General features: G+C 38.0%; 1 protein-coding gene across 5 annotated transcripts in view; it reads right to left on the bottom strand.

Moving 5' to 3' along the window:
• TASOR2 (transcription activation suppressor family member 2) overlaps nucleotides 1-20,857 on the bottom strand; it is a 78,903-nt gene that overhangs the window by 29,939 nt on the left and 28,107 nt on the right. For 3 of the 5 annotated variants that reach the window (NM_001321783.2, NM_001321785.2, NM_001387328.1), the window contains 10 exons: nucleotides 19,595-19,667; nucleotides 16,052-16,143; nucleotides 13,134-13,258; nucleotides 13,028-13,047; nucleotides 12,832-12,931; nucleotides 10,025-10,125; nucleotides 9,269-9,372; nucleotides 6,845-6,917; nucleotides 6,679-6,741; nucleotides 2,599-3,315 (listed from right to left, as the gene is read on the bottom strand). In NM_001321783.2, coding sequence (NP_001308712.2) covers nucleotides 2,599-3,315; nucleotides 6,679-6,741; nucleotides 6,845-6,917; nucleotides 9,269-9,372; nucleotides 10,025-10,125; nucleotides 12,832-12,931; nucleotides 13,028-13,047; nucleotides 13,134-13,159 — 1,204 coding nt within the window. In that variant the 5' untranslated portion in view covers nucleotides 13,160-13,258; nucleotides 16,052-16,143; nucleotides 19,595-19,667. Of the gene's footprint in view, nucleotides 1-2,598; nucleotides 3,316-6,678; nucleotides 6,742-6,844; nucleotides 6,918-9,268; nucleotides 9,373-10,024; nucleotides 10,126-12,831; nucleotides 12,932-13,027; nucleotides 13,048-13,133; nucleotides 13,259-13,404; nucleotides 13,543-16,051; nucleotides 16,144-19,594; nucleotides 19,668-20,857 lie in introns of all 5 variants that reach the window. The other 2 variants (NM_001321784.2, NM_017782.5) reach the window with 2 other exon arrangements.

Below are 20,857 nucleotides of genomic sequence, written 5' to 3'. Positions count from 1 at the left end.
AGGGAAGAGCAAAATAAAAATAAATCAGGAAAACAGTTAAGACTAAATTAAAAAGAAAAAGATTAGACAACCAAGACCCAGGGGGAAACTTTCTAATATTTGTACAAACAGAAAAGGAAGATATTCCCAAGTACTCCCAGGTGTTGGGAGAAAAAAGAAAAATGAAACAAAGTGATCCTGCATAGATTGTTTTGTTTACATGTAACATTCAATACCATGCTTCTCAAACTGAATGCAATTAATCCACTGGTGGGTTGTAAAATAAATTCAATGTGTCACAACTAGAATTCTTTCTTTTTTTTTGAGATGCAGTCTTGCTCTGTCACCCAGGCTGGAGTGCAGTGCAGCTCACTGCAACCTCTCCCTCCCAGGTTCAAGAGATTCTCGTGTCTCAGCCTCCCAAGTTGCTGGGATTACAGGCAAGTGCCCCCATACCTGGCTATTTTTTGTGTTTTTAGTAGAGACGGGGTTTCACCATGTTGGCCAGGCAGGTCTCGAACTCCTGGCCTCAAGTGATCCACCCGCCTCAGCCTCCCAAAGTGTTAGGATTATAGGCATGAGCCACCACACCCAGCCCAGAACTCTTAAATGAAACAGAATAGAAGGTATCAGACTGTATTACACATAATTTTTTTTTGAAATTTTTGTTCCAGTCATGTATGAACTTGTAGGTACCGGAATATAATATCAAACATATTTCTTACAGTGGATATAATTAAAAACATCTGAGAAACAGTGACAATTTATGTTGAGTTATAGATAACTGATTCAATACCTTAAATTGGTTCATGCAGAACAGTATGGTTGGCCTGGAATCTGTTTTACAGATAGTTGTATAGTCTGGTGCACTGCTTTATACTACCATACTTTCCACTTACCCTCCTAAGTACGCACATCTCCACCCCGTTCCTCAAGCCACAATAAGCCAGAAACCACTATTTATGAAGCCACAGGATAAAACCAAGGTTGGGTACAGTGGCTGACGCCTGTAATCCCAACACTTTGGGAGGCTGAGGCAGGAGCATCAGTTCAAAGTCTAGCTTGGGAAACATAGCAAGACGTCATCTCTACAAAAAAATTTTAAAAATTAGTGGGGCACCCCTGTAGTTCCAGCTACTCCAGAGGCTGAGGCAGGAAGATCACTTGAGCCCAGGAGTTTGAGACTGCAGTGAGCTATGATCATGTCACTCAACTCCAGCCTGGCTGACAGAGAGATCCTGTTTCTAAACAAAAACAGAAAACTCCAAACAAAAAAAACTCCATAGGGTAAACTCTGAATTATTTAGAATCCTGGGATTACCATACCCTAGACGTTTCTTCTTTAGGCACCAACATTTCCAAATTCAAAATATTACAGATTGGCTTGGCAAACTTTTCTGTGAGGGGCCATAGAGTACATACTTTCAGCTTTGAAGGTCATGTGGCTTCTGTCACAGCTGCTCAGCTCTGCCAACACGGCATGAGAGCAGCCAGAGACGACACAGGCACAACCGAGTGGCCCCTTGGCCATAATGTGCTGCCTTCTTCTCCAAAGGAGTCACCCATATACTTCCCTACTCTTTTAGAGAAAATAGAGTAAAACACAATTTGAGATGACTCTAAACCAAAGTCATATGATTTGCTGTCCTATGTTCACTGAAATACATTTGCCAATACATTAAGTGGCTAGGCCAAAGTCATATGGTTTGCTGTGCTATGTTCACTGAAATACATCTGCCAATACACTAAGTAGCTCAAGACTCTAATTCTCACTCAATTTTTCAGGGAGCATCAAAACCACACGAATAATCCAGGTGCTCACGTAAAAACTCTGTGATACACATAAAGGATTAGAAACTCTGCCCCAGACTATTTTACTTTTGGAGGTCCCAGGCATTTCCCTCCTCTCGATAGGTGTTGAGGCTGTCAGCTATCACGGTTTGCTGGTACTGATGTGCCTGATTTTAGAAGAACCTTTTCTACCTCCATTTGTGAAGAGGATGGCACAGAAACTAGATGGTTGTCTTTCTTAGAATGGAACATACACGTGTGGGTGGTTTTACATGTGGAACATAACATGTTGGTGGTGGGTAGGCTTTTGAGGTATCTTGGTCTTTCCTATTTCTTGGTTTTCAGTTGCTATCTCAATCAGAGCTTGTCAGGCATTAGGAGGCACACAAATTGCCTGGAGAGAAATGATGGTGATTCTAACAATCTTCTAACTGATGCTGCAAAGCTGCAGTCCACAGGGACCAAGACAGCAGAGGGATCGAATACAACAACTATTATTATTATTGAGATGGAGATTTGCTCGTCACCCAGGCGGGAGCGCAATGGCGTGATCTCGGCTCACTGCAACCTCTGTCTCTTGGGTTCAAATGATTCTTGTGCCTCAACCTTCCGAGTAGCTAGGACTACAGGCACGCACCGCCACACCCAACTAATTTTGTATTTTTAGTAGAGACAGGGTGTCACCGTATTGGTCAGACTGGTCTCAAACTCCTGACCTTAGGTGATCCACCCACTTGGTTTCCCAAAGTGCTGGGATTACAGGCATGAGCCACCAACGCCTGGCCACAACTATTATTATAATAACCCACATAAATAAATCGTGCTTACCTCTTTTTCTTTTCTGAGGAAACTGTCCTTTAACTAACTTAAGAGTTGTTGGAGAGTCCGAGCTGTTGTCTGCTCTGGAAGCAGTTCTTTTGGGAAAGGGGCGGCACAAGTTCACCTTTTTACTCTGCACCATGTGGGGCATGCTGGCCTTCCTCTTAGGCTGCACTCTCAGATTTGACGCTGGACTCAATGGAAAAACTCTCTTCTTTGCTTTCAACATTTCTTCAGAATCCTTTTTTGTTTCAGTTTCTTTTCTCACTTCTGCCTCTGAGACAAGAAATTCAGGATCTGGAGTCATAACTAAGGAAAATCCAGCATCACAAATTCCGTCTGAAACACAAGGAGACTGAGGATGCTCTGCTAGCAAGTCCAAAGCAGTAGACACTTCCAAAATGTAAGCACTAGGGTCTGAAAAATAAGAGTTCAACTGAGTTAAAGACTCTGAAGGGCACTTTTCAGCTGGAGGAATCAAGTCAAAACCACTGGGCAGTTTCCCCAAGAATGTAGGGTCTTTCATTCTATCCTGAGGAGCAACACTCAATGAAGGGCTTCTGTCCGCCTTGTACAATTCTTGGAAATGACGCTTTACTAATGTGTTTGGATGGATTCTTTCTTCAGGAAGTGATTTCTTTGTTTCTAGCAGGGCACAATTAAGGGTAGATAAAATAGGTATCACCTTCATTGAGATGTCATCTTCAACTTTCAAATCTTTCACCCCTAGAATATATACACACGTATTAAACATCTGAAGTTTATTTTTTAAAAACAAAACATTCTGGAAAAAAAAGCTTTAGATTTCAAAATTATGTGATGGTTAAATATGTTATAGTATTTCAAATGACAACCTAAATGGCAATTAATAGAAGACTTAGAGGTACATTTAACAAATGTATCTCCATATACTTGAAATTACATACACACACACACTGAACTGAAAAAGAATCATCTGACATGCAATCACTAGGTTAGAACAAGTAAACTAAACCCTGCCTCCAGCTCCATCTCACCTAACAAGGAGCTCATGAGCTCAATGGTTCATCACAGCAGTACCACTGGTCTTTAGAGCTGGCAGATTTGCTTTCGTACTTTTTCTTATTTTGTTTTAAAATTTATTTTACTGTAGCTGTACCTTACTGAACTCACTTCAAATTCTTTTCAGAAGTTAGTGCAAGTCAACTGAACTGAAAAAAGTAGAAGCCCTAAATAATGCTGGAATCTCACTGGAATGATTATTGCTAACTTTATCACCTTTTCTAGCAAATGAAATAAAAACTTCTAAAACTGACTAGTCTATGTTTCACCTCCTCTCCTGCTTTGACTGAAGTGCTAATTTTTCCTTTTTTTTGAAAATGAATAAAGGAAACAGTAAAAGGGAAAAAAAAAGAGAAAAGGTCTGGTCCCTATGAACTGGGTAATAAAATCCTATAAAATTTCAGAGTTGTCAGTAATATAAAGCCACAAGAAACAACAGCCTTCAGGGCCTAGTAAGTGAAAATAAAAATTGTACCATTCTTTTTAAAGAAAAGTAACTTCAGAATGAAACACAAAGTTAGTTCTAGTTAAATACATTAGCACTAAAGCAGTTATTAGAAAAAGGAAATGAAGGACAAATAACAGTAAAAAGGAAAATGTGGCCAGATATCAAAATAAAAATTTTTGTATTTTTTGTAGACATGGGATTTGTCATGTTGCTCAGGCTGGTCTTGAACGAGTGGGCTCAAGTGATCTACCTGCCTCAGCCTCCTGGAGTGCTGGGATTACAGGCGTGAGCCACCACTCCGGGCACAACGTTTTTATAAACCAAATTGTTTTAAAGTTATTGCTCTGGTCTTTTTGTTGTTTTGTTTTGTTTTGTTTTAACTCAGTCTTGCTCTGTCACCCAGGCTGGAGTGCAGTGGTGTGATCTCATCTCACTGCAACCTCCGCCTCCTGGGTTCAAGCAATTCTGTGTCTCAGTCTCCCGAGTAGCTGGAATTATATGCATGTGCCACCACACCTAACTAATTTTTGTATTTTTAGTAGAGATGGGGTTTCACCATGTTGGCCAGGCTAGTCTCCAACTCCTGGCCTCAAGTGATCCGCCCGCCTTGGCCTCCCAAAGTGCTGGGATTACAGGCGTGAGCCACTATGCCCGGCCACTCTTTTTCTTCTTCACCTGATACAAATATAGGCAAAAAGTTAGCAAGTTCATATCATATTTATGTGAGAATTTTAAACTTGCGCTTTGTTAAAATCTTTTAATGAAATACCTGAAACTTTATAGTTTACAACTAAAAAACAAAAATAAAATAAAATGAAATTAGAAATCTTACAGGAGCCAGATCTGAAGTTAGCTGTTAGACCCTGAACAAGTTCAACTCTGAGTTTCTTCATCTTTGAAATCGTTATAGGAGTACTTATTTTATGGATTGCTAAGTCCATTACTTCCACCACAAAACCTGACATGATAAATGCTTGAAAAATGCAAACGGTCGCTGCCAATTATGTTATTATCATGGGTAATGTTTTGCTTATTCCAAAGATGTGATGCCTAGGAAAGCACAGCGTTCTGCTTCAAGTAACTGAATTGTTTTGTTTTTTTTTTTAATTTTTTTGAGACAGAATCTCCCTCTGTCACCAGGCTCACTGTAATCTCTGCCTCCCGGGTTCCAATGATTCCCCTGCCTCAGCCTCCTGAGTAGCTGGAACTAGAGGCACATACCACCAAGCCCAGCTAATTTTTTGTATTTTAGTAGAGACGGGGTTTCACCATGTTGGCCAGGATGGTCTTGATCTCCTGACCTCGTGATCCACCCGCCTCAGCCTCCCAAAGTGCTGGGATTACAGGCGTGAGCCACCCTGCCTAGCCAGTAACTGAATTTTTTAAAAAAACTTTAAAAACATGTTTATATTGGTTATAGCTTTATAAATACTATATAGAGTTTTATGTTTAAACACACACATTGTGATTATACAACAAAGTGACTTTTTTTTTTTTTTTTTTGAAACAGGGTCTCACTCTGTTGCCCAGGCTGGAGGGCAGTGACACAGTCTTGGCTCGCTGCAACCTCCACGTCTCGGGCTCAAGCGATCCTCCCACCTGAGCCTCCCAAGGAGATTGGACCACAGGTGCAAGCCACCACGCCTAATTTTTCTCTATTTTTTGTAGAAACAGGGTCTCAACATGTTGCCTAGGCTGGTCTCAGAACGCCTGAACTCAAGAAATCTACCTGCCTCGGCCTCCCAGAGTGCTGGGATTACAGGTGTGAGCTGCCGTGACTGGTCAACTCTCATTTATTTATTTGTTTAGCAAATATTTATTATTTTATAGGTGCCTGGCATTGCTAGGCACTAGGGATACAGTAGAATACAAGAAGGGTAGGCATTAAATAATTATACAAATAAATATTTAAACTATATGAATGATAAATAAGCATAGGAGTCTAAGGTGAGCAAAGAGTGTTGACGGGAACAAAGAAAGTGATAGTGAAGCCGAGTTTGACAGATAGGAGGAAGAATAAGCTAGATTAGTGTTTCTCAATCTTTTTAGTCATCCTCCTTCCCAGCCCTCTTAGAGTCATTTTTCCCCCATATTGACCTCCAAAATTTTAATACCAGATATACACTGCATATCTGTTTATGCACTGTATGAGTAATTTTTTTTGCCCCCAGGAGCCAAATTTTGGTCCTCTGGGTGGATCAACATCACAATAAAAATGTATGGGCTTGATATGAAAAGGACTAACAGATAAGGTCCAGATAAGGAGAACAGCACCTATGAAGACTCTGAGACATATTTACAGGAGAGACGATGGCAAAATTTAATAATAAATGAATTCAGTTTTAGACATGCTGAATTTAAGGCACCTTTGAGATATCTCAGTGGCAATGTCAGTAGACAAGTGGAGATATGGGACTGAGGCTCAGAGGGAAGCATAAACCTACAAGGGAGGTCAAGAAGGGTGAACCAGTGATGTTAAGAAAAGAGGTATTTAAGAGGAAAAAACAGTCAACAGTGTCACGTGCTGCTGAGAGGTCAAGTCAGATGAGGACTAAATATATCCAACAGACAGAGTGAGCTGGAAACCATTGTATCCTCACCTGTTGACAGGGGTGAACGAAATAAATGTAACCCATGCAGACCCATCTGCTTGCCTCCAAAATCTATGCAGAATGAGAATCAGAAGAAGAAAAGTTAGGTTGTTGATCTTATAAAGCAAAAGTAAACATAATGAAAAATATTTTTTCCCAAAACAGTTCTCCATACCTGGTTCTGATAGTAAGGCTGATGATGTAAGTAAAATGAAAAACCCTCGATCTTCTAAGCATTTGATGATTGCCTTAAATAAAAAGGAAAAATTCAACTGAAGGAATATTCTGCAATCCCTCTCTTCTCCCTCTACCCATACTCATTAGTGAATATTGACCTCAAGAAAAGAAAAAATTCTGCAAATGTTATGGGAATCAGGGTAATTCTGTCCCCAGTATCAGAAACTTCAAGTTCCTTAGCTGAAATAATCTTGGCCCTGTTGGGTCTATATAAAATAACCAGAACATGAAAGGTTAGTTTTAGAACAGTGCTCAAGAACATGGCAGATCAATCAGAAAAGACTTATTTTTTTCACTGAGACAGCTGACATTTCATACCACTGCCTAAACAGCCAATATGTTACCATGTAGTCATTATAAACTCACGATGAATCAAACCTATAAGTAGCATCTTAAGCTCATATTTACATGAAAATTATCCCAAAACGCTGAATCTAAAAAGACTGCAAGATACCATCCAATAGAATACTTCTTTCTATGCATCTTAAGAAATGGAAAATAACAGAAAATAATCAAGTTCCAGGGCAACAAGAAATACAGATGAAAATAAATTCTTCCTCTCTTTTGTTCCCCTCTATTAGAGTCTTCAGTGGACTCTTGAGCTCAAGAAAAAAGTCTTGAAATTTTAATGCTTTCAGTAACTGGGGCAGTTTTGTCCCCAGGCAGCAGAAGTTGTCTAAAAGCTGTTGTTCTAAATCATGAATTTAATAGTTTTTCTTTTCCACTGCTTACCATTTCAAAAATCTATATACACATAAAAGATAAAATCCAATATTAGTACAATAATTTTTCAGTTAAACCACCTAAATAAAATATACCATTTTACAGAACATTTTATTTCAAAACTGAGAGGTGATAAGGCTACAAATATAAATCAATATATTATTTAATCACAATGAATATACAAAATAAGACTTTTTAAATTATTACATTACAATTAAGGTATGACACTAATATCTCACTCTCAAAAAGAATCACTGCTTTGAGTTTCAACAAGATTCTATGAGAGCCCCTATGTGTTGTATGTCACATGATGACTTACATATTTGTCTCCTCCATAGTCTCCTAAGCTCCTTGACTTACAGGAGCTATGATTTAAGAGCCTATTTCTTTAAGAGACAGGGTATCACTCTGTTACCCAGCCTGCAGCACAGTGGCACAGTAACAGCTCACTGCATCCTTGAACTCCCAGGCTCAAGCTATCCTCCCACCTCAGCCTTCGGAGTAGCCAGGACTACAGGTGCAGGCCATTATGCCTGGCTAGTTTAAAAAAAAAAAGTTTTTTAATTTTGGTAGAGATAAGATCTTGCTATGTTGCCCAGGCTGGTCTCAAACTCCTGGCCTCAAGCGATCCTCCCACCTTGGCCTCCCAAAGTAATGGGATTACAGATGTGTTCCACCATGCCAGACTTTAGGGACTACACTACTTTGTATCCTTGCTTCTTGCCCCTCCTGCCCAGTATGTGAATCAATCTTTTTTTTTTTTTTTTTTTTTTTTTTTTTTTGAGATGGAGTCTTGCTCTATCGCCCAGGCTGGAGTGCAGCTGCGCGATCTAGGCTCACTGCAAGCTCCGCCTCCTGGGTTCATGCCATTCTCCTGCCTCAGCCTCCCAAGTAGCTGGGACTACAGGCGCCCATCACCACACCCAGATAATTTTTTAGTACAGACAGGGTTTCACCATGTTAGTCAGGATGGTCTCGATCTCCTGACCTCGTGATCCGCCCGCCTTGGTCTCCCAAAGTGCTGGGATTACAGGCGTGAACCACCACGCCTGGCCGTGAATCATCCCTTTGTCCAGTGTATCTATGCTGTAGATGCTACCCACCCTCTGGGGCAATAGTAGTACTTCATAATGCCTGCACCACCTACCTCATTCATCACAAGGAGTACTCAAGTATAGCATAATAAATAAAATATTTTGAGATGGACAGTCCACACTCACATAACTTTTCTTACAGTATATTGTTGTAACTATTCCATTTTATTATTGTTGTTAATCTCTTACTGTGCCTAATTTATAAATTAAACTTTATCATAAGTATGCATGTATAGAAAAAAACACAGTATACATAGGGTTCAGTACTATCCACAGTTTCAGGCATCCACTGGGGGTCTTGGAACATATACCCCACAGATACTGTATTACATTAATAATATATAAATAAATATTAAACATGAAACTCCTTTCAGCACAACTAATATATATCTATATCGATCTATATCTATATATCTATATCTATATCTATCTATCTATCTATCTATATATATATATAATATATATATATGTGCCATCTAGGCACAACTAATATATATCAATTAAAGAAAAACATAATAATTATATTTTAAATTAGTGATGCTTACCAATTGCTTGTTTTTAATACATTCTGTTAATTTATCTATATTTTCCCCTTGTCTGTTTGACAGTTCTACCTCATACAAATTGAAGCACAAATCTTGAAAACAGACTGTAGAGAAAACCAGAAAAACATTTCTTATTTTTAATACGCTATTATGTACTTACAGTCAATTTGTTCATTTTATATGTTGCAAAAATGAAAGAATAGAAATACTACTCAGAAACCTTTATCATTTACTGTTCTTGGTTATAAAACTCCCTCATAAAACATCACCAAAATAGTTATTTTAAAACAATGCTCTTATTTATACTGACACTGCTATAGGATTAACAAGACAAATACAAATACTACATGAATAAACATCAGTGCTCCATGAATTAACCTAAATGACCAAGAAATTTCCTTCTCATGGTTTTTCTTTGAGTTTAAAAGTACCTCTATAAATAAAACCAACAAAAACTCTGTCCTCGAGAGGAATAGTTACAAGTTTCCAAATGCTTTTAATATCTGCTTGCTTAATTGCATCAGTATTTCTATATTAAAGCTAGCCTTTGTCATCTTAGATGAAACTACCTTTCAGTTTCTAGTTGGCCTCCAAGGAACTGAAGAAAATAGTAACTCTACAGCTTTCTTACAAAAGACTCTTTTAAGAGTCACTTATGATGAAACAGAAGTGTGCATGTGTGAGTGTTTGGAAGAGAGCAGAAAATAACCAGAACAAAGCCCAGGACAAGTAGCGTGTTATTACATTTCAACAGACCTTTCTCCTCCAAGTAATTCTGTTTTCTGAAGGCAGCCTCTGGTAGTCTTTTTTTCAAGGAAGACACTTTCATTACATATTTAAAATCTAGTTCCTGCGGTCTGAAAAACAACACAACAGTATCAAGCAGAATAATAAACAGTGGATCTAAATTTTCTTAAGTTTTGGTTTTCTAATATAAATGTAAACAAAAATATAACCACAAAAAAGACCTTAAGTTGATAAGCTCCAGGTTAAATAATATGTGTATTTTTAAGTAGTACAGATTTTCAAATATATGACCCATAAACCATGGTCTGCAAATATGTTCACATCTTCTCAATACATGTATTTTCAGTACAGACAAAGTATCTAGATGTGTCAAAAAAATTATGTATACAGGAATAAGGAATTAAAAAAAATTATGCTATTTATGAGTTATTTGCCAGGCACGGTGGCTCACGCCTGTAATCCCAGCAACTTTGGGAGGCTGAGGCGGGTGGATCAGAAGGTCAGGAGATGGAGACCATCCTGGCTAACTCGGTGAAACCCCGTCTCTACTAAAAATACAAAAAATTAGCCGGATGTGGTGGTGGGCGCCTGTAGTCCCACCCAGCTACTCGGGAGGCTGAGGCAGGAGAATGGCGTGAACCCAGGAGGTGGAGCTTGCAGTGAGCTGAGATTGTGCCGCTGCACTCTAGCCTGGGCGACAGAGCGAGACTCCGTCTCAAAAAAAAAAAAAAAAAAAAAAAAAAGTTATTTCCTGACTACTTTTTCCTTTTTTTGTGTGTGAGATGGAGTCTGGCTCTGTCACCCAGGCTGGAGTGCAGTGGTGCGATCTCAGCTCACTGCAACCTCTGACTCCCGGGTTCAAGTGATTACCCTGCCTCAGCCTCCCGAATAGCTGGGATTACAAGCATGCCGCACCATGCCCAGCTAATTTTTGTATTTTCAGTGGAGACAGCGTTTCACCGTATTGGCCAGGCTGGTTTCCAACTCCTGACCTCAGGCAATCTGCTCACCTCGGCCTCCCAAAGTGCTGGGACTACAGGTGTAAGCCACTGTGCCCGGCACTCTGTTTCCTTTTTAAAAACTCATTTTAAAATGCTTTTACACTTATACAAAAGTTGCAAACATAGGACAAAGAACTCTTTAATACCCTTCATCCAGATTTCCCAAATATTAACAGTATACCATGTTTGCTTTGTCATTCTCTCTCTCTATACACACGCATTATTTTTTTCTGAACCTTTTGGGAGTAAGATGCAAACCTGATGCCCTTTTATGTCACATACCTCTCTGTGTGATTCCTTTAAACAGGAAATTTTTTCTTTTCTTTTTTTGAGATAAGGTTTCACTCTGTCGCCCAGGCTGGAGTGTAGTGGCGCGATCTCAGCTCAATGCAACCTCCACCTCCCAGGTTCAAGTGATTCTCCTGCCTCAGCGTCCCCAGTAGCTAGGATCACAGGCACGTGCCACCACGCCCGGCTAATTTTTTGTATTTTTATTAGGGAGAGGGTTTCGCCATGTTGCCCAGGTTGGTCTCAAACTCCTGGACTCAAGCAATCCTCCTGCCTTGGCCTCCCAAAGTGCTAGCATTACAGACAGGAGCCACTGTGCCTGGCCCCTAGCAAATTTTCTTATACAACCCCAAAGCAATAAGCAAAATCAACACATTCACAATGATAACGATACTATGACTTAACCTACATCTTATTCAAATGCTGCCAACTGTCTCACTAAGTTCCTTCACAAAAAAAGAAAACAATTTCCAATCCAAGATGCCACAATGCATTCAGTAATCACGTCTCTTTAGTCTCCTTTAATCTGGAACAGTTTTTCAGTCTTTTCTTTACTTCAATGACTAGGGTATTTTGAAAAATATAGACGATTTTGCAGAATGCTCCTGAATCAGGATAGGTCTATCATTAACTTAACTGCTGAGTTAAGATGGTATCTGCCAGTTTACTCCACTGGTAAGTCTGCATTGTTTCCTTTGTGATTAATAAGCAAGTAGTGGGGAAATGTTGTAAGATATGCAAATACTATTAAACTTTCACCTGTTTTTAGCACACACTGGTTGATTATTATGGTGTTGTCAAATGCTGATCTTCTAATTTATCAATCTTTCCACATTTATTAGTTGCACTCTATAATGAGGAAGAACTTTCCCTTCTCTATTTGCTTATTCACATAATTTTTATGTTGTGGGTTATTATACTCCTACCTCTTCTTAAAAAAGGCCGATAGGAAAAAAAAAAATGAATCCTCACAACACATCAGTTTTCACCTTATAATTCAATTAAACTATGACTATTTCTTAATGGTTTTGGGTACAAACTAAGAACAGGATGAACCAAAAAGATTTCCTAAGATGTTCTTCACAGTTCCCCAGGAGAAAATATTAATCATGATAATTGCTTTTAATGTAAATACATGTAACAGCTATTCTAACATTTTTCTAAGAAAATCATGTTAAAATTTGAAAATCAGATACTGCAAATGTTAATAAAAATAATACGATTAAGTGGCTATAATCTGCTATATTTGCTATCAGGCAAATCTGATTTATTTCTTGGGGAAGGTCAAATTTCTAGTATCTAATAGTTTAATTTATCCCAAGAGGTCATTTTCCCATTAATAAATTAGAATTTAGGTTTACTATGTCATACCCTGTGTGCTATACATTTACCCAAATATACCCTCATCTAAAATCAAGAACAGTTGCTGTATTTTACACCAATGCCACCCTTGAAATGAGGTGAGGAAAAAAAACCCCAAAACTTGTAATATAAGCATTAGTAAAGGACATAACATTTAATACTTACAGCTGTGTTGGAATCATTGCACCGTAAGTGGACCAAAGAGCTATATCACATAGCATACGGTCTTGAACAATTAATTTCCCTTTCCATGGAGACATGAGAACTGAAGAAATGAAGGTAAAAAAGAAACTGATTATTTATGATGAAACATTTACTCAAGAAAAAAAAAACCTAAAAGAATCAATGAACTATTTCTTACCATTTTCACTGCGTTCAAGTCTAGCAGAAAAAGAAAGAAAAAGAACATGTTTACAAGAGTAAAAGGAACAAATTCAGTAAAACAAAGCATGCACATAATTACTTACATGCTTTTATGAGCTGGTGGTGCCATAGTTTTAGATTCCCTGTATCGAAAAGCTACAATTACATAAGGACAGATCTGTCTGGGTCGTTCAATAACGGTGTTGCCTGAAAGTTCGTAAAAGTAATACTGAAAGAGGAAAAATAAGTATTATCAGGGTAGCACTATGGAACTGCATATGTACCAAGTTTTTCTCAACCCCACCGAGCCCTGAAATTTAACACATTAGAGTCAGAAATATATCTTGGGTGTTACTCATTCACAGGTAACTATACCTGACTCAGTTCAAAGGCACGAAAATGACTCGTCTTGTTAGAAACCTTGTTAGTATTTTCAGACACGTGGCAATCATAGCCAGAAGATGGCTTAGTATAGTTAGTTGTATAATTCTCAGACACAAACTTGACTTTTCCCTAGAATGAAAATATTAAAACTAATCAGATGCCTTCGAATAGCAATAACCTTTACTCTAGGATTCATTTAGAAGTAGTCTAACAAGGATGCAGATATGTGTCCCCTAACAGTAACTGTATTAAGAACTATACTTCTTAGAAAAACAATTATCTTAAGGCCAAAAATAGTTTTGATTATCCATGAACCCTTAAAAATGGACTCAAAAATTTTGGACATTTGGGCGTCTGAGACAAATATCCATAGTTTTTATCACAATATCAAAGAAATATACGAATCACCCTAAATTTAAGAGAGCCATTTCCTTAAAAGAAAAACTATAGCCCACCATCTTTTATGTTACGGTCACTGAATGGCTCTTTGGTGACTGTAATGTAAAAGAGGACAAAATCTAAAATTTCAAAAGATGAGTTTCCAATCTGAACTATGATCAGTTGTAAATTATAAACTGAGATACTTCTATTATGACAGGGCCCAGCAAGTTAACAAGGAGCAAATATGTAGCAAAGTTCTTAGCAGGCAGCTGGTCCTGGTTGCTGAACAGTCAGCAGTATTTTCCATTACAGAGTTCTCTCCATCAAGGGTTACATGTCTCTCCAAAAAAAAAGAAAAAAGCAAGCAGCTGGGCACAGTGGCTCACAACTGTAACCCAGCACTTTGGGAGGCCGAGGCGGGCAGATCATGAGATCAAGAGATCAAGACCATCCTGGCCAACATGGTGAAACCCTGCCTTTACTAAAAATACAAAAAAATTAGCTGGGTGTGGTAGCGCGCGCCTGTAGTCCCAGCCACTTGGGAGGCTGAGGTAGGAAAATTGCTTGAACCCGGGAGGTGGAGGTTGCAGTGAGCTGAGATTGTGTCACTACACTCCAGCCTGGCAACAGAGCAAGACTCTGTCTCAAAAAACAAACAAACAAAAAAATAAAAAGCAAGTAAGCCAAGTTTACCATTATGATGAAATATGCAATGATTTTAAAAGCTGTTTTGAATAATACAATGACATAAGACAATGTTCACAAGATGTTATTAACTTATATCAAAATGGGATATGGGACTATAGGCAATTTTAATTTTTATAAGAAGAATATAGTTACTTTTTAAAAAAGAAGATGTTTTGTTGTTGTTTAAGTCCTGCCTCTTCATTTACAGACCCACCAAAGGCCAAACCACCAAGCCAAAAAATGTAAATAGTACTTATCAGTAACCAATCATCTCTACCATCTCCTCATCAAACATTTTATGGTTCTGGGTGCGGCTCGATTTTGTGAAATAAAATGAAGATTGAGAGCACAGAGGCCAAAACAGCAATCTCCAGCTAGTGGCAAGAAATCAAGGCTGAGGCATAATCTAAGTAAAAAACGAAATGCTTATTATCTGCATTAGTAGGCATACTTTCTGCAGCACTCATCGCAGAGCAAGAAAAGAAAGATTAAGGGAGGAAAACTAGTGATTGTACCTCAAAGCAATGTTACTCCCCCACCACTTTTTTTTTTTTTTTTTGAGACAGAGTTTTTTGTTCTTGTTACCCAGGATGGAGTGCAGTGGCGTGATCTTGGCTCACTGCAACCTCCGCCTTCCAGGTTCAAGTGATTCTCCTGCCTCAGCCTCCCAAGTAGCTGGGATTACAGGCACCCGCCACCACGTCAGGCTAATTTTTTTATACTTTTAGTATAAAAAGTGGAGACAGGGTTTCGCCATGTTGGCTAGGCTGGTCTCAAACTCCTGACCTCAGGTGATCCACCCGCCTCGGCCTCCCAAAGTGCTGGGATTACAGGCATGAGCCACAGAGCCTGGCCTCTCCCTCCGCTTTTTTGAGAACAAACTTTACAATATTAAGAATTCACAGGCTCTTGTTTTTTTTTTTTTTTTAATTAAAGGTCATTTAGTGCTAGGCTGATAACCAAAGAATTTAAGATAGTAACAAAGCTAAAAAAAAAAACAATAAAACGAGACCACAGAAATGTCCTCAAGAAGCCCAATCACATCTAAAATCAGTTTCCCTTCTGTTTGGGTGAAAATTCTAATTGCACGATTCACTTAACAGTACCATTTAGGACATTTAAGGATTTGTGGCATCATCAGTTCTAGGTAGCACATGAAGCTGTGAAGCTGGATGTCTTATGGAGAAAGAAAATAAAGATTCTATTGACCATTTAAATTAGACAATGAATGTTGTTTTCTAAATTCATCTTTTATAAGTGTAATCACATCACCTTATAAGCAGCTACTTGTTTTCTCTTATTTCATATTTAAAAAGTAGCTCTGACAGGTGAGAGGAAGATTTTTCCCTGCATACCCTTTTATTATTTTTGAAGTTAAAAAAAAGTTTACAATCTAGTAAATGAATCAAAGTTTTCTTTTTAAAGAAAAGGAAAAATAGTTTTGCTTTTCCTGAATTTGGATAGCTAACTTTGGTGAGAACTATGTTCAACTAATATCTACAGAGAATATCAAAGGTAGATAACCTTAAACTTTAAAAGGAAATCACGTAACAGCACATTTAAGCTTTACCTTAATTATATTAAAAATTACAACATAACCAGATTTCCCATGATACCATGGTCTTGAATGAAGACAGTCGGAGTATTTGGAAATGTATACACCTGTAAAAGTATAAAATATAGATTAAGCAGCAGATTGCCCATCAGACAGGAGAAAGTAGAAGCAAGAAGACCAATTAGAAAGAAAGCTACTGTGATAGTTGAGACAGGAGAGGAGGATTCCAACAAGGCAGCAGCAGTGAAAAACGAGGAAGAAAGGACAGGCTTCAGGGCTATTCCTCAACTGAGGCAACTCTTTCGAAACATAAGAGACAATGAGTGAGAAAACTGATACAGTGGAAGAGAGCGCTAATTCTGTGGTCAGAAGCTTGGGTTCCAGGTAAGAATAAGTCACTCAGGTAGGGAGGGTGGGCCTGGGTCACAGACACAAAGACCACAGGGTGCTCATGAAGATATAAAAGATCAATAAGCTTTAAAAACTATTATTAATTGAAAGTATTATTATACACAAAATTATCCAGTTCTAGTCAAGCCAAAAATTACAAAAGACATACAAGTAGTAGTGTTAATTTTACTATCAACCCCAGTGTATGTGTTTTTGAAGAATGTGTATTTGTCAGGAAAAATCCAGTTTCTACTTCCACCACTCTACTGAAGCCAGCCTCTCAAACATCAGCAATGAAATCGTAAGATTGTAGCAATGTAGGAAAACGTCTTTTTTTTTTTTTTTTTTGAGATGTAAGCTGCAGTGGTTATTTGTAATTTACTTTCAGATTCTCCAGAAAAAAAATTAAACAAATGAAGCAAATAATGCAATGTGTATGTTTATATTTATATATATATATATTTATATTTATATACATTTATATTTAGAGACAGTCTCGCTCTGTTGATCTCGGCTCACTGCAACCTCTGCCTCCCAAGTTCAAGCAACTCTCGAGTCTTGGCCACCTGAGTAGCTGGGATTACAGGTGCATGCCACCATGCCTGGCTAATTTTTGTATTTTTAGTAGAGACGGGGTTTGGCCATGTTGGTCAGGCTGGTCTGGAACTCCTGGCCTCAAGGGATACACCTGCCGTGGCCTCCAAAAGAGCTACGATTACAGGCATGAGCCACCGTACCCAGCCAATAATGTATAATATTATCTGCTAAACTTCGGTGGTAGGTATATTATGGTATGCTCTTTACTTTTATGTCTGAATTTTTCATAATGAAATGAGGGTGGGGTGAAAAAATAGGAGAGAAGAAAAAAAGCTGTATGCAGTGTTATCAGCGTTATGAATTTATCACTTTTAACGTCCCTTAGAAGATGAGTTGAATGTAAACTTTAAATTTTTTTGTTTTATAGTTATCATATGACCCAGTGGTTCCACTCATTATATATCGAAGATATATATAATTATGTCCACCCAAAAACTTGTACATGTATGTTCATAGGACCATTATTCATAATAGCCCAAAAGTAGAAATAACCCGTATGTCCATGAATTGATGAATGGATAAAGAAAATATGGTATGGCCACATAACAGAATACACCATTGTATAATATAACATTTTGGTCAACAACAGACTGCATAAAGTTTGGACAGTGATCCCGTAAGTTTGTAATACCATATTTTTACTGTACTTTTTCTGTTTTGATACACAAACACACACCACTATTTTATAACTGCCTGAAGTATTCCGTACAGTAACCTGCTGTACAGGTTTGTAGCCTAGGGGCAATAGGCTACACCATACAGCCTAGGTGTGTAGTAGGCTATGCCCTCTAGGTGTCTCTAAGTACGCTCTGTGATGTTCACATGAGTAAAAAATTGCGGCCAGGCAGGGTAGCTCACACCTGTAATCCCAGCACTTTGGGAGGCCAAGGAGGGCTGACCATGAGGTCAGGAGATCGAGACCATCCTGGCCAACATGGTGAAACCCAGTCGCTACTAAAAATACAAAAATTAGTTATGCATGGTGATGTGTGCCTGTAATCTCAGCTACTCAGGAGGCTGAGGCAGGAGAATCACTTGAACCAAGGAGTCGAAGGTTGCAGAGAGCTGAGATTGCGCCATTGCACTCCAGCCTGGTGACAGAGCGAAACTCCGTACCCCGCCACCAAAAAAAAAACCAAAACTGCCTACCAATGCAATTCTTGGAATGTATCCCCATTGTTAAGTGCTGCAGGACTGTATTATTCAATCATAAAAAGGAATGAAGTACTACTGGTTCATGCTACAATATGCCTTAAAAACATGCTAAAAGAAGTTACTCAAAAAATACCATATATGATATGATTCCACTTATATGAAATGTCTAGAATAGACAAATCTATAAAGGCAGAAAATAGACTGGTGGTTGCCTAGAGCAGAGATGGTAGAGAATGGGGAGTCACTGCTAATGGCCATGGGATTTCTTTTTTGGGTGAAAAAAATGGTCTAAAATTGACTGTTATGATGGTTACCCAACTATGGGACTACACTAAACAATGGGTGAATTCTATAATTGTGAATTATATCTCAATAAAGCAGTTTTTTTTTAAAAAAAAAAAAGGTCAGCAGGAATCTAGCCATGAAGCCCGATAATCTTTCTCAGTTCTGATCTCCACATTCTACATAGCACCTGGCACTAATAAAAAATACCCCTCTTCGTGAGATCTTTCTGCTTTCCGTGAAACTCTATTTCCTAAGTCTCCAGGTAACAGACTGCTCTTGACAATTCCTCGTTCTATCCTCGCTGTACCTCCCCACACCCTGGTCCCATTAATGACCCAAAAGTTCTGTTTTTGCCATCTTCTCTTTCCATGCCATCCCACTAACAATGTCTTAGCTTCAATTCACACCCCACTCCCACAACCCTAGCCCCAAATCTAGTTCTGATCCCTTTCCCAACTATATTTATGACCTATAGGCTATCTTTCAGAAACACTTATGAAAATCTCACTTTTTCTCAAATTCAACTCATAAAAGTAGTACTGTCCATTTACTGAGAACTTACTAGGTGCAAACTCCTGGGCTAAACACTTTCCAGTCTCACTGAATCCTCTCAACAACTCTATAAAGTAGTTTAATCTGTTTTACACATGAAGAAACTGAATCTTCAAAAAAGTTAGTGCTAATTCATTGTTCTTGACAATTAGATAATATTTTTATTTTTAACTCATCAGCTTCTCTACCAATCTGCTTCTCTTCTTATGTACCTCTTTTCTATTAATAATTATCACTGTAGTGTAAGTTTAAAAGCTTATATTTGATTATTTCCTCTCTTACCCCTCACATTCCATAGTTGCCAAGTTCGGTCAGCTCTATTTTCTATTCTTATTGCCATTGTGACAATTTAGAAGAGATTCTCAAGACAATACCAATCTCTTGACACTGAAAAATACTGTTAAGTTTTAGACTCAAATCTCATTCATATGTTTAAAGTTAGAAATCTAAACATTATGAACTGTTTGACATTTAATGAAACTGGCTTTTAATATACATATCTTATAAAACTAATGAAACCTCACTTCATCTTGTAAAAGAAGATTTTTTTTTAAGATTCTTTTTGCTTTACGGACTTACCTTTGGCTGGATCACCCAGAGTGGTAACAGCACTGCTGCCAACACGGAGTCCACACTGACATACCAATTTTGCCTTTAAACAAAAGATTACTTTGCTTCAGTCTTTGAAGCAATGAAAAAATGCTATAATCTGTAAGGTTTTTTTTTTTAATTTTATTTTTTATTATACAATAGAGACAAGGTCTCACTATATTGCCCAGGCTGATCTCAAATTCCTGGGCTCAAGCAATCCTCCCACCTCAGCCTCCCAAAATGCTGAGATTACAGGCATGAGGCACAACTGCATCTGGCCTAATCCATAAGCTTTAAAATAAATAGTCTGCTCACTGTAGGTATTCGGGGCACAAAGAAAACTTATGCAAAGCAATCTGTATTTTGATTAATGGCCCAAACTTTTCATAGAATTTTACCATTTCAATCAACAAAAATGTCAGGAAAACCAAACTAAGCAGGGTCACAGGTAAGTCCACTAGAAGATTTATTTTCCAACTACAGCTTTAGAAGCATGAAATTTCAAAATGTCTTGTTGCCAAATGTCATTTTTAGTAAGAACCCAGAGCGTGTTATTTGAATTCAGACGATTAAATTTCAAAAGGGATAAACTCTTCTGGTATTACTATATAGTCCTTATTATATGTTAGTGCTAATTATCCGCTAAACAAATCTGCCCCCCTTCTTTATAAACCATTAACCTAATCGAAGCACTAACTTTGAATTATTTTAGATCTCTGGTATTGTTTAAAATGTATCTCGGAAGCCATACATATCTTTGGAGACCTACCCTGTACACGGTCCTTTCCTTCTCCCATAATTTAGGTACAGGCAACAATACAGATTTCAGTCTTCAAATATTGAATGAAGCAATTTCAGTTAACCAGGATGCCAAAGTTTATTAAGTTACATGATTTATCTCCCAAATCAAATAACTTAAACCAGAAAAATTTCCACAGGAAACAAAGTTTCGATTAAACGATAATCCAGAATGGAAAAATATCCATTCACTCTAGTAAAGGCCATTATTGACACTAAAGAAAACTGTTTTAATCCAAATTGCACCCTAAGCTTACAAATGTATTTCAGATAAAACTAAAGAGAAACCGTGAAAAGTTGTAGAAATCAAATCAAATCTCCTTCATGACTGGCTTTTTTGTTGCTGTCATTTACATGCCACCAAACTAAGCAACAAAAAACACTGATGAATTGGTAATCTTACAACTCTTACAGAACTGAAGTACCACAATACTTAAGACTAATGATACCATT

This window comes from Homo sapiens, chromosome 10, assembly GCF_000001405.40.
Source record: "Homo sapiens chromosome 10, GRCh38.p14 Primary Assembly".
NCBI classification, from domain to species: Eukaryota; Metazoa; Chordata; class Mammalia; order Primates; family Hominidae; genus Homo; species Homo sapiens.
This window is presented reverse-complemented; position numbering and strand designations above follow the sequence as displayed.